The 13,720-nt window shown below is 38.5% G+C and overlaps 1 long non-coding RNA gene across 3 annotated transcripts in view, besides 1 other annotated feature; it reads left to right on the forward strand.

Annotated features, from left to right (window-relative positions):
• Positions 1-13,720, forward strand: part of LOC124902439 (uncharacterized) — an 820,351-nt gene that overhangs the window by 170,295 nt on the left and 636,336 nt on the right. The window contains exon 2 of one of the 3 annotated variants that reach the window (XR_007062163.1): positions 398-524. The exons of the other annotated variants lie outside the window; for them this stretch is intronic. This is a non-coding gene — a long non-coding RNA (uncharacterized LOC124902439). The remainder of the gene's footprint in view (positions 1-397; positions 525-13,720) is intronic. 3 annotated transcript variants of the gene reach the window in all.
• Positions 1,246-1,540: an enhancer, noted in NCBI's record as "tiled region #2403; HepG2 Activating DNase matched - State 5:Enh". NCBI's record gives its function as "activates a minimal TATA promoter and a strong SV40 promoter by Sharpr-MPRA in HepG2 cells {active_cell/tissue: HepG2}" and the evidence as "EXISTENCE:reporter gene assay evidence [ECO:0000049][PMID:27701403]".

Below are 13,720 nucleotides of genomic sequence, written 5' to 3' on the forward strand. Positions count from 1 at the left end.
TAATGAATTACTTTCAAAATTCAGAAAATATCAACGACCCCTATACCTCCAGCATCCCCAGTTTTATGAACCACTAATAGAGTTTGTTCAACCATTATAGGGGATAAAATTGAGGTCTCAGAAATACTAAATAATGTTAGCAAATGTCACGTAGCGCTTTTCTTTTCAAAATCAATTGGAGTGATGTCATTAATATGCAGTAATTATAGCTCTTGTAGCCTTTCAGTTGGGGTGTAGCCCAGAGTTTGCACGATTTATATTGAACTGTCAAAAAAAGTAAGCCTGAGTCTTTCTCTCAGTCTCTCTCTCTCCCCCACCACGCCCTCCCACCCTTTTTCTCACCTCTTATCTCTTATATTCTATCATTTTAATGCCATTGTATGTATTTATATTTTAGCTTCATATTGACATCCTCCCAGTGACAGAGGAGTACAGGAAATGATGCAGGTGCAAGGTGCTTACAGTCCAGAGGAAAGGGTGTGAAGCAAGAATGAGAAAGCCTGAGGGAACCATGCAGATATCCTGTGAGTCTTTCTCTGGGGCTGTGTGGCCTAACATCCCCAGGTTTCTTGGGCCTCTGCTTCATCCCTTTCTCCCTGCAGACTCTCTCCCCTTGCTTCCAGTGCAGTGAAAAAGGTGGTTGTCCTTCAGGTCAGGTGCTCTACACAGAATGATCAGAGCTTTGGTATCAACTCCTTATTCATAAGAGAGAAAATCTGATTTGCCTTCTTGGGTCAGGTGGCGGGATGTGTTCCTGGGAAAGTCTCAGAGGAGGGGAATTGTGGATCCTTCTTCCTTCCAAGGTGTCTGTGTCATGGGTTTAGTGCTCTACAGTTCACAGAGTGCTTTTCCAGACATTAAGTACTCTGATTTTCACTACAAGCTTGAGAGTGGATTTTACTAGTGCACTCGTTGTACACAGGAGGAAACTGAGGGTTACAGGGATTAGAGAGTGTACTAGTTTTTTAGGGCTGCAGTAACAAAGTGTTATAAACAGAGTAGCTTAAAACAAAAGAAATTTATTGTCTGTCAGTTCCAGAAGTCCTAAATCAAAGTATCAATAGAATAGGTTCCTTTTAAGGTCCCTGAGGGCAAATCTGTTCCAGGCCCCTCTCCTTCTGGTGGTGGCTGGCCATCCTTGGCATTCCCTGGTTTGTAGCTGCGTCACCCCAATCTTGCCTCTGTCTTTATTTGGTGTTCTTCCTTCCTGTGTCTCTGTCCAGATTTCCCTCATCTTATAAGGATACTAGTCATATTGTATTAAGGGCCCGCCTTAGCCTAGTAAGACTTCGTAACTTAACTAACTACATTTACAAAGATCTCATTTCCAAATAATGTTTTCACATTCTGAAGAACTATGAGTGAGAACTTTAACCTGTCTTTCTGGGGGAACACAATTCAGTACATAATGGATAGTTTGCTCAAACTTTGGACTCAAACTCAGAACTCCTGAGTTTTCAATGGGAATCATTCTTTCCCTGGTTGATTGGGCAATATTAAAGCAGAAAACTACCATGGCTAATTAGCTGTCTACTATTTGTTGTTGAATCAAGCACTTATTCAAAATAAACAAAGCCACTGGCTACTTCATCACTTACATACTTAATCTTATACGATGTGAGGGCAGGAGTTTGGAAAGAAACAATTTTTGGTCAAACAGATAGTTCTATCTTTGATTAAGAAAAATAAAATGTTAAAAGTGTAAAAGTAAATCTTTATATGAGGATTGATACAATAAATATATTGGATGGTATTGCTGAATGGTTTCTATAAAGTGCCTTGATAATTTACTTTGAGCTTATTACAGTTTTCCTTGGCCCACCTGTAGGCTTAACACTGGATGCTTAAAAAGAAAACAAATCCAAAAGTATTTTTCCTTCTTCGGTGGCTAGCTATCCTGAGGGGAGGAAACTATGTCCTCATGCCTGCAGCTAACCATTGGAAATTACTTAAAACCCTTCACCAAACCTTTCACTTAGGTATTGATAACACCCATCAGATGGCCAAATCATTATTTACTGGACGAGGCCTTTTCAAAACTGTCAAGCAGATAGTCAGGGCCTGTGAAGTGTGCCAAAGAAATAATCCCCTGCACTGCAGGCTATACATTTAAATCCCTGTATCTTTAACCTCCTTGTTAAGTTTGTCTCTTCCAGAATCAAAGTTGTAAAACTACAAATTGTTCTTCAAATGAAGCCCCAGATGCAGTCCATGACTAAGATCCACCGCGGACCCCTGGACAGGCCTGCTAGCCCATGTTCCGATGCTAGTGACATCGAAGGCACCCCTCCCGAGGAAATCTCAACTGCACGACCCCTACTATGCGCCAGTTCAGCAGGAAACAGTTAGAGTGGTTGTCGGCCAACCTTCCCAACAGCACTTGGGTTTTCCTGTCGAGAGGGGGAACTGAGAGACATGACTAGCTGGATTTCCTAGGCCGACTAAGAATCCCTAAGCCTAGCTGGGGAGGTGACCGCATCCACCTTTAAACACGGGGCTTGCAACTTAGCTCACACCCAACCAATCAGGTAGTAAAGAGAGTTCACTAAAATGCTGATTAGGCAAAAACAGAAGGTAAATAAATAGCCAATCATCTATCACCTGAGAGCACAGGGCGGGGGACAATGATCGGGATATAAATCCAGGCATTCGAGCAGGCAACGGCAACCCCCTTTGGGTCCCCTCCCATTTTATGGAAGCTCTGTTTTCACTCTATTAAATCTTGCAACTGCAAAAAAAAAAAAAAAAAAACCAGATCCAGATTCATTTTATGAGGCCAGAAAACAAAACAAATCCTCTAATTATTAGCACAGGTCAAAAGGAAAAAATGGAAGTGGCACTAGTTGCTGAGTTCTCTCTTCTTCTGCAGTAGGTCCCAGAATAGAAATTATTATTTTTCTATGATGGGCCAGGGCTAGAGTGACCATATAATTTATCATCCAAACTGGGAGGCCTTAGAAAATCAAAGAGGTGATTAAAAATCATTAAAATTATGTTCTCCAAAATTATTTGCTGACCATCAAATTGTTTTATTTTGTTGGTGAATTTATATAACCAATCCATTCAATAGCTATTTAAAAAATCTATTAAAAAATAAATAACATATCTATGAATTGTAAAGCAAAATAAAAACTTAATATTCAAATATCTGAATATTTAAAAACAATACAAGCAGTATAATTCTTCCTGGTATATATTCATATATGTTGATCAGATTCTTAGCTATGTTTTCTCTAGTACTGTGTCACTGGAATTTTTCTGAAGAATTTTTTTAAATATAGTCTTATTCTTAAGACTATTTTAAACAAATTGCCTTTCATCTTCTTTAAAGTTGTGTCTTATGGTAATAAGTTGGCAATTGTTGCTTTTTTCAATTGCTCTTCTTGGTAGAGTATAATATTTTCCATCAATAAAATAAAATGATTTCTCTACAGATGCTAAGGTGCTTGGTAAAACAATAGCAAATGCAACTAAATGGTGTACACTTTCACTGCTTTTTTGGTATTTAAATGTGTAGGAAGTTTAGCCTAAATATTTTTAATTTTACAGGTACTTTTGCTAGTATTTTACTGAGAATTTTCACATCTATGTTCATCAATGATATTGGCCTGTGGTTTTCTTTTTTGTTATATCTGTCTGGTTTCACTATTACATTGGTACTGACCTCATAAAATGAATCTGGAAGTATTCCCTGCTCTTCAATTATTTTTTGCATAGTTTGAATAGAATTGGTATTAGTTCTCTTTAACATTCCATAGAATGCAATAGTGAAACCATAGGTCCTGAGCCTTTCTTTGATGGGAGACATTTTATTATGGCTTGGTTCCATTAGTTGTTATTGGTTTGTTGAGATTTTCTATTTCTCCCTGGTTCAATCTCAGTAGGCTGTTGTATCCAGGAATTTATCCATTTCTTCTAGTAGGGAATACTTCCAGATTCATTTTATGAGGCCAATACTAACCTAATAGTGAAACCAGACAAAGATATAACAAAAAAGAAAACTACAGGCCAATATCATTGGTGAACATAGATGTAAAAATTCTCAGCAAAATACTAGCAAACCAAATTCAACAGCATATTAAGAAGACCATTCACCATGATCAAATGGCACTCATCCCAGAGATGCAAGAGTGGTTAAATGTATGCAAATCTATAAACGTGATAAATCACATTAACAGAATCAAGAACATAAATTGCATTCAATACAATTCAAAATCCTTTATGATAAAACCCTTATTAAAATGGATATAGAAGGAACGTACTTCAAAATAGTAAAGTATATGTGACAAACCTATAGCTGACATTGTACCTTACAGGGAAAAATTGAAGGGCTTTTCTCTAAGGACTGGAACAAGACAAAGATGCCCATGTTCACAACTGTTATTTAACATAATACTGGAAGTTCTGGCCAGAGCAATTAATCAAGGGAAATAAATAAAGGGCATCTAAGTTGGAAATGAAGAAGTCAAATTAGCCTTGTTTACAGATAGCATGATCTTATATTTGGAAAAACCTAAAGACTCACCAAAAAACTATTAGAACTGATAAATTTAGTAAAATTGCAGAATACAAAATCAACACACAAAAATTAGTAGCATTTATATATGCCAATAACAAACAATCTGAAAAAATTAGAGAAAGCAACCCCATTTACAATAGCTACAAAGAATATGAAACACTTGGAAATCAATATAACTAAAGAAGTGAAAGATCTATACAAGGAAAACTATAAAACTCTAATAAAAGGAATTGAAAGAAAGCAGTTGAAGAGGACACAAAAACTGGAAAGATATTCAATGTTCAGGGATTGGAAGAATTAATAGTGTTAAAAGGCCAAAATTACCCAAGGCAATTTAAAGATTCACTGTAATCCCTATCAAAATACCAATGACATTCTTCACACAAATAGAAAAAAATCCTAAAATTTATATAAAACCACAAAAGTTCCCAAATAGCTAAAGCAATCCTGAGCAAAAAGAACAAAGTTGGAAGCATCACAATACCTGACTTGAAAATTTACTACAAAGCTATAATAAGCAAAACAGCATGACACTGGCATAAAAACAGATGCATATTTCAGTGGAACACGATAGAGAACCCATAAATAAGTCCATGCATTTATAGCAAATTTATCCTCAACAGTGGTGCTAAGAACATACAATGGGGAAAGGACAGTCATTTCAATAAATGGGAAAACTGGATAACTATATGCAGAGGAATGAAACTAGACCTTATCTCTCACAACATTCAATTCAAAATGAATTAATGAATTGAAGACTTAAATCTAAGACCTGAATATATGAAACTAGTAGAAGGAAACATTGGGAAGCACTTTAGGACACTAGTCTAGGCAAAGACTTTTATTTTCTCTAAGACAGAACTCAAAGGCACAGGCAACCAAAGCAAAAATAGACAAATGGGGTTATAACAAGCTAAAAAGCTTCTGCACAGCAAAGGAAACAATCAACAAACTGAAGAGACAACCTACAGAATGAGAGAAAATATGTGCAAACTGTCCGTCTGACAAGGAATTAGTAACCAGAATATATAAGGAGCTCAAACAACTTAGTGGCAAAAACAAATAATCCGATTTAAAAATGGGCAAAAGATCTGAACAAACACTTCTCAAAAGAAGCCATACAAGTGGCCAAAAGGTTAACAAAAAAAATACTCAATATAACTACTCATCAGAGAAATGCAAATCAATACCATGATGAGATATTATCTCACCCCAGTTAAGATGGCTTGTATCAAAAAGTCAGAGAATAACAGATGCTGGTGAGGATGTGCAGAAAGGGGACACTCATGTACTGTTGATGGAAATGTAAATTAGTACAGCCACTATGGAGAACAGCGCGGAGATTCTTTGAAAAACTGAAAATAGAACTACCATATGACCCAGCAATCTCACTACTAGGTATACACTAAAAGAAGGAAAATCAATATATCAAAGAGACATCTGCACTCCCATGTTCATTGTGGTACTATTCATAATATCCATAATATGAAATCAACCTAAGTGCCCAAAAATGAATGAATGGATAAAGAAAATGTGGTGTATACACACAACAGAATGTTATTGAGTCTTAAAAAGAATGAAATCATGTCATTTGCAGCAACATAGACGAAACTGGAAGCTATTATATTAAGTGCAATAAGCCAAGCACAGAAAAACAGGTATCACATGATTTCATATATGGGAGGTAAAAAAGTGAACCTCATGAAGATAGCAAGTAGAATGGTAGTTATCAGAGGATGGGAAAGATAGTGGGGAGAGGAAGAGGAAGGGAAAAGAAAAGAATATAAATTTAAAAATAAATAAATAAAAAATTTCAAAAAAGAAAAAACCCATCCCATTTACAATAGCATAAAAATTACTTAGGAATAAGTTTAATGAAGGAGGTAAAAGACCAACACACTGAAAACTGTAAAACATTGATGAAAGAAATTGAAGACACAAAAATAAAAAGGTATTCTATGTTCATGAATTAAAAGAATTAATGTTGTTCAACTGGCCATATTACTCAAAGTGATCTACAGATTCAATGAAATTCTTATTAAAATTTCAATGGCATTTTTTACAGAAATAGAAAAAAAATTCCTAAAATTTGTATGGAACTACAAAAGACCCCAAATAGCCAAAGCAATCTTGAGCAAAAAGAACAAAGCTAGAGGCATCAACTATCTGATGTCAAAATATACCACAAAGCTACAGTAAGCAAAAACAGCATAGCACTGGTATAAAAAAAAGACAAATAGAAAAATGGAGATGGACAGGAAGCCTAGAAATAAATCCATGCATTTGCAGCCGACTGATCTTCAACAAAATTGCTCTGAACACACAATTGGGAAAGGACAATCCTTTAAATAAATGGTGTTGTGACAACTGGATATCCACATGCAGAAGAATGAAATTGGACCCTTATCTCACAACATATACAAAAATTAGCTCAACATCAATTAAAGACTTAAATTTAAGGCCTGAAACTCTAAAACTGCTACAAGAAAAACGTAGGATAAAAGCTCCATGACATTGGTCTGGGCAATAATTTTTTGAGTGTGACCCCAAATGCACAGGCAACAAAAGCAAAGATAGACAAATTGGAATATGTCAAACTAAAAAGCTTCTGCACAGTAAAGGAGACAATAAAGGGAGTGAAGAGACAACCTCCAAACTGGGAGGAAATATTTGCAAATCATATTTCTTATAAGGGGTTAACATCAAAAATATATAAGGAACTCAAGCAACTCAATAGCAAGAAAACAAATAATCCAATTTTAAAAATGGGCAAAGGATCTGAAGAGACAGTGCTCAAAAGAAGACATACAGATGGCCAACAGGTTTAAGAAAAAGTGCTCAACCTCACTAATTATCAGGGAAATGCAAATTAAAACCACAATGAGATATCACCTCACATAAGTTAGAATGACTATTATCAAAAAGACAAAAGATAACAAATATTGGTGAGGATGTGGAGAAAAAGAAATCCTTATGCACTGTTGGTGAGAATTTAAATTAGTATGGCAATTATAGAAAACAGTGTGGAGGTTCTTCAAAATTTAAAAATAGAACTACCATATAATCTAGCAGTTTTACTACTGGGTGTATATCCTCTACAACAGGACTGCTTAGTCTCAATTTTTATGTGTATTTTTTTATATGTCCAAGCTGTAATATCTCACATTTGCCATTGAGCCCTCCCTCTCCACACCTTGCACCTTTGTGTAGCTTGCAGATTTTAGCACAGGTCATGGGGCCTGTCCACCCACTGGCCGAGAGGTGCCAGTAGTAGCATTAGATGCTTCTCCCCCTACAACTGTGGCTGCAACAAGGTATTAGTCTCTGGGTGCTAGTGGCAGAGCACACTTTGTGTTATCAGTAGGCACTCTGCCACTGTTCCACAAAGGGACTGTCTGCAAAGGGTCAGAAAATTAAATGAGTTATCACTGTCATCTGTCAGATCTAACCAAGTATTAAAGTGACTATGAGTTTTAAAAATCTATCTCTTTAATTATTGAGATTTCCTCATGCATGAGAGTGAGAATTCTGCTCCACTGCACATGTGTCTCACACAGTATACCAGACCATGGCAGAAGCTGGAAGTACAAAGTGGAAATCTATCAAATGTATTTCTCCTTTTCCAAAAATACAACTATTAAGAATGATACTTTTGTTATTACAAGATGAAAACTGGTACAAATTTCAAACCAGACAGGAAATAGGCATAAACTAGAAAATGTCCCAGGGAAATGGGCATACGGTCTGTATCAGTCCATTCTCATGCAGCTATGAAGAAATACCCGAGATTGGGTAATTTATAAAAGAAGGAGGTTTTAATTGACTCACAGTTCCTCAGGACTGAGGAGGCCTCAGGAAACTTATAATCATGGTGGAAGGGGAAGCAAACATACCCTTCTTTACATGGTGACAGCAAGGAGAAGTGCTGAGTGAAGGTGGGGAAAAGCACTTTATAAAACCATCAGATCTCATGAGAACTCACTCATATAATGAGAATAGCATGGAGGTAACCACTCCCATGATTCAATTACCTCCCACCAGGTCCCACCCATGACATGTGGGGATTATAGGAACTATAATTCGGGATGAGATTTGGGTAGAGACACAGCCAAACCATATCATTCTGCCCCGGCCCTTCCCAAATCTCATGTCCTCACATTTCAAAACACAATCATGCCTTTCCAACAGTCCCCCAAAGTCTCAACTCATTTCAGCATTAACCCAAAAGTCCAAGTCCAAGGTCTCATCTGAGAGAAGGCATGTCCCTTCCACCTATGAGACTGCAAAATCAAAACCAAGTTAGTTACTTCCTAGATACAAAGTGGGTACAGGCACTGGACAAATAAACCCATTCCAAATGGGAGAAATTGGCCAAAACAATGGGGCCACAGGCCCCATGCAAGTCTGAAATCCAATAGGGCAGTCATTAAACCTTAAAATGATCTCCTTTGATGCCATGTCTCACATCCAGGTCATGCTGATACAAGAGGTGGGCTCCCATGGCCTTGAGCAGCTCTACCCCTGTGGCGTTGCAGGGTACAGCCCCCCTTCCTGCTGCTTTCATGGGCTGGCATTGAGTGCCTATGACTTTTCCAGGTGCATGGTGCAAGCTGTGGGTAGATTACCATTCTGAGGTCTGGAGGATGGTGGCCCTCTTCTCACAGCTCCACTAGGCAGTGCCTTAGTGGGGACTCTGTTTGGAGGCTCTTATCCCATGTTTCCCTTCCACACTGCCCTAGCAGAGGTTCTCCATGAGGGCTCTGCCCCTGCAAGATACTTCTGCCTGGATGTCCAGGTGTTTCCATACATCCTCTGAAATCTAGGCAGAGGTTCCTGAATCTCAATTCTTGTCTACTGTGCACCCACAGGACCAACACCACATGGAAGCTGCCGAGGCTTGGGGCTTGCACCCTCTGAAGCAGGGGCCTGAGCCGTACCTTGCCCCCTTTTAGCCTTGGCTGGAGCTGAAGCAGCTGGGACACAGGGCTTTGTATCCCAAGGCTGCACAGAACAGGGGGGCCCTGGGCACGATCCACAAAAGCATTTTTCCTTTTGAGACCTCCAGGCCTGTGATGGGAGGGACTGCCGTGAAGGTCTCTGACATGGCCTGGAGACATTTTTTCCATTGTCTTGGTGATTAACATTCAGCCCCTTGTTACTCATGCCAATTTCTGCAGTGGGCTTGAATTTCTCCCCAGAAAATAGTTTTTATTTTCTGTTGCATTGTGAGGCTGCAAATTTTCCAAACTTTTATGCTCTGTTTCCTCTTGAACACTTTGCCACTTAGAAATTTCTTACACCAGATACCCTAAATCATCTCTCTCAAGGTCAAAGTTTCACAGATCTCCAGGGCAGGGGCAAAATGCCTCCAGTCTCTGCTAAACCATAGCAAGAGTGACATTTACTCCAGTTTCTGACAAGTTCCTTATCTCCATCTGAGACCACCTCAGCCTGGACTTCATTGTCCATATCACTATCAGCATTTTGGTCAAAGCCATTCAGCAAGTCTCTAGGAAGTTCCAGACTTTCCCACATCTTCCTGTCTTCTGAGCCCTCCAAGTCTCTACGAAGTTCCAAACTTGCCCACATTTTCCTATCTTCCTCTGAGCCCTCCAAACTGTTCCAACCTCTGCCTGTTACCCAGTTCCAAAGTTGTTTCCACATCTTTGGGTATCTTTATAGTAGCACCCCACTCTCTGGGGTACCAATTTACCATCACATGGTCACACTAGATATAGCAGACATGATGTTAATGGCTCCTAACATGGCTGTGCAAGCTCCTGTCTTAATTTGGGCCTGGGTCTTGGTAGTAGAGTTGTACTCAGGTCACCACTACCCTAATAGGATAAATGAAAACCTACACAGAAGCCCCATTCTGTGACTTTATGTGAGACTATTTATAGTCGCTCCCAATCAGTAGTGTGCTGGTAAATGTTTACCAGCTGATGTGGTTGGTGGTGGTGGTGGTGATGCATGGGACAAGGGGGAAGAAGGGTAGCCCTGTGTAGTGTCTGCTGATTTCTGTGGGGTAAATACTCTTGCTGTGATTGATATCAAGCTACCAACTTGACAGTCATCAAACTTGGAGTTGGGAATTTATGTGCACAATTGGCCAGTGGACCGCTGACAAGCCTCTCCCCAAATATCTGTCTAATGAAGCTGAATATGCTTCTTGCTGGCCAGTCTCTCTGCCCCAAAACAGATAACACTAGAAATAAGAATTTTTTTCTCACTGTGATTTATTTCCTCTAAGACTCAGTCAGTCATGGTGCAGTGTGGGTTTAGCTGTCTTTAGCTCAACTACTTTATCTTAGGAAGAAATTAAATAAAGTATTCTCTTCTACTTTTTGACCATTACACACCATTTATGTTCACAATATATACAGAGGCAAAATATACCACCTAAAGCATAACTCTAGTATCTGTGATCTTCTGCCCCAGATCAACACCAAGGGAGGAAAAACCACCTGCAGATGAAGATTCCTTTTTCACATCCAGTCTTCCAAAATTATATGACAAAAACCTTTATGGAATATTCTATACAAGTTTAAAGGCAAAGTATTTAAACCAGAGAACACTTAATTAAGTTGTTATGTTCTAGATACCACAGGGAAAATTTTATTGACTTGAAGAATCTCAAGTAATAAACCCTTGATATATGTGGGTTTGCTTTTGCATGTGAAAATAGAAAACTTATATTTTATGCATCAGTTACAGATATTGTTCTGCAACATTTCCTCTTAAAACAGGATGTGCCGTATGCTAATTTGCCGTGAATATTTCAGTATCATTTGGCAAAAGGAGCAGAGATATGACCCATGTCAGAAATACACCTCAACTTTGGGGTTGCCACATTCTTCATTGGTTTCTTTAATTACAGATTTATGAAGTGAGACCATTCTCAGCAGAACAGCAATTGAATACACCAATCAGAAAGGAGATGCTCATAGCAACCATGGAACACTGAAAATAAATAAATAGATAAAAAGCTACCAGCACCAAAACAAAGAAGGCTTCATGGTTTTATCCTATGGAGCTGTGACAAGTTGCTATTCTATCTGAAAAACTGATGGAAACTGAAATCAGCAAAAGTGAGCTGGTTATAAAACACCAGCAGACATTTATTGATGGGTGTTACTGGGACACACTCAGTCATGAAGAGAATAGAAATGCATCAAAGTCCTACTCCAGGAATTTTTCCTGACCTTTGCTATTTAGGAATTGCCCAACCTCTGTTGTAGGTGTTCATTTATCTTTCCCATTCTCAAGTTAGTTTTATAGCACTCTTTTTTGGGGTATATAATGTAGTACCCTTTATGTGTATAAGGGAGACTTCTGACAGCTTCATATATACAAGAGATCCTTCCATGGAGAAATGATTTATTGTAATGGTCTTTATGTTGTTAGAGCTAGAACTGAGACTATGTTTTTGATCTACTTTGTAGCTTTATTCTGTGAAGAGAATTCTTTCTTCAAATGTCAGAAATCTTTGCTGTCAGCAAGACCTACCCCTCCCCAGATTTAATTTTTCTTCAGTGTATTCTATGAGAAGGAGAGAAATAGGCTCATTTTTAATGTCCCTTCCACTCCCCCACCCCCCCCCCCATTGAATAGTTGCCATTTTTCACTCTTGGATGGGCAGGAAGGGGTCAAGTATTTGTAATTCCTTTTTCCTGGGAGCATCACCACTTTCAGGGTAATAGTAGTGATTTTAATGGGATAGGGGAGTGCACTCTTCTTAATCTATAGAGCCTCATGGCCATTTTAGAGGCAATGTAACAGGTGATTACTAACTCAGAGGTACCATTTTCCTGTACCTGGAAGGTCACTTTTGCAATACAACAGCATCAAAGTGCTTAAAGGGAAGTTAAGGGAAGTGTTGAATATGTAACAGATGGGATTCAGAAACTCAAGTAAGCTTCATCTGAAGCACAAAGATTTATAAACTCTGTTTAGTTTTCCAGCTCTTCCAGATGATACTGCAGAGGAACAGAGTGGGGGCTACAGTGAGAGAGGGACCAAGATTTCAGGGAATATATGTGGAAGTAGAGGCTGACTTCTGAATGTGTTTAGTTTCTTGCAGCTGGTTTTGCTAAATCAGCTTCCTTAAGTTGACTGATAGAGCTCATTGCATGAAGCTTCAAAGACGTCTTTTTTTTTTTCTGCAGCAGAATATCCTAAAGGAAGTTCAACTCAATTGCCTTCCTTTGAAAAGACACTGAACCAAATGATTGTTCAATGGTCCTGGAAAGAAATATTTTTTTTCATTTGAAGTTTCTACTTTAGCCTTAAAACCTAGGTTGACAGTATAAGGAATTGCCTACCCTCCTTACTTTCTCCCTGGCTGAGTTATACGGAGTCATTAGGTGCTCATTAGACTAACACAAAGGCAGATAGCACCAGCTATGGAATCCATGACTCATTTAAAAATTTCATCAGTTCTCTTTAGCTTTCTGTGTAAGTTGCAATCTTTCTTGTGGCAGGTGGCCTGAAACTCTAAAATATTAGGCATTAAAACTCAGGACTTAAAATCATTAAAGCTTTTTTTTATTTTAAAAAAACAGATATTCTCTGATATGAGCAGGTAACCAACTTCTCATCTTTGGCATTCACCATCACCCTCCTTAGGATATGATTGATACCAGTGATTTTACTAAGACTTTTGAACCATATTGCCAGGTAGGTATTACTCTCTTCTTGCAAGTGTGGAAGCTGAGGGTTGAAGAGTCAGTAAGCAATGGAGCCGAGATTCAGAAGCCTATACTTGACACCAGACTACCTCCCAATGATGAACATGAGAAGTTAAAGCTATGGACCCTGTGAATGTGAGAAGATGACAGGATTGCTGGCCCATATACCCACAGGGGAACCTGGTCAGAGGATCCCATGTCTAGTGGAGGAATAAAATGGCCATTTATTTCCACCTTGGCTATTTAACTTACTCTGTAGTTCTGGGGCCACAACTATCCCTAGGGGCAGGTGAGAACTAATAAAATGTGAGCTTGCAGCTGTACCCCATATACTTTTGTCCTAAAGGTCACTTTTCTCTTATGCTATTGTATATGGGTTCTACATCTCTTCCTCCCAAAGCTATGGCAAAAGGAAGGCCTCTGTGGTTGCATGTACTCTCTTCAGAAAAGAGCATATACCTCAATTCACAAATCCTGGATGTTATTTTATGATTTCTAATTTAAGCAAATA

This window comes from Homo sapiens, chromosome 10, assembly GCF_000001405.40.
Source record: "Homo sapiens chromosome 10, GRCh38.p14 Primary Assembly".
Taxonomy (NCBI): Eukaryota; Metazoa; Chordata; class Mammalia; order Primates; family Hominidae; genus Homo; species Homo sapiens.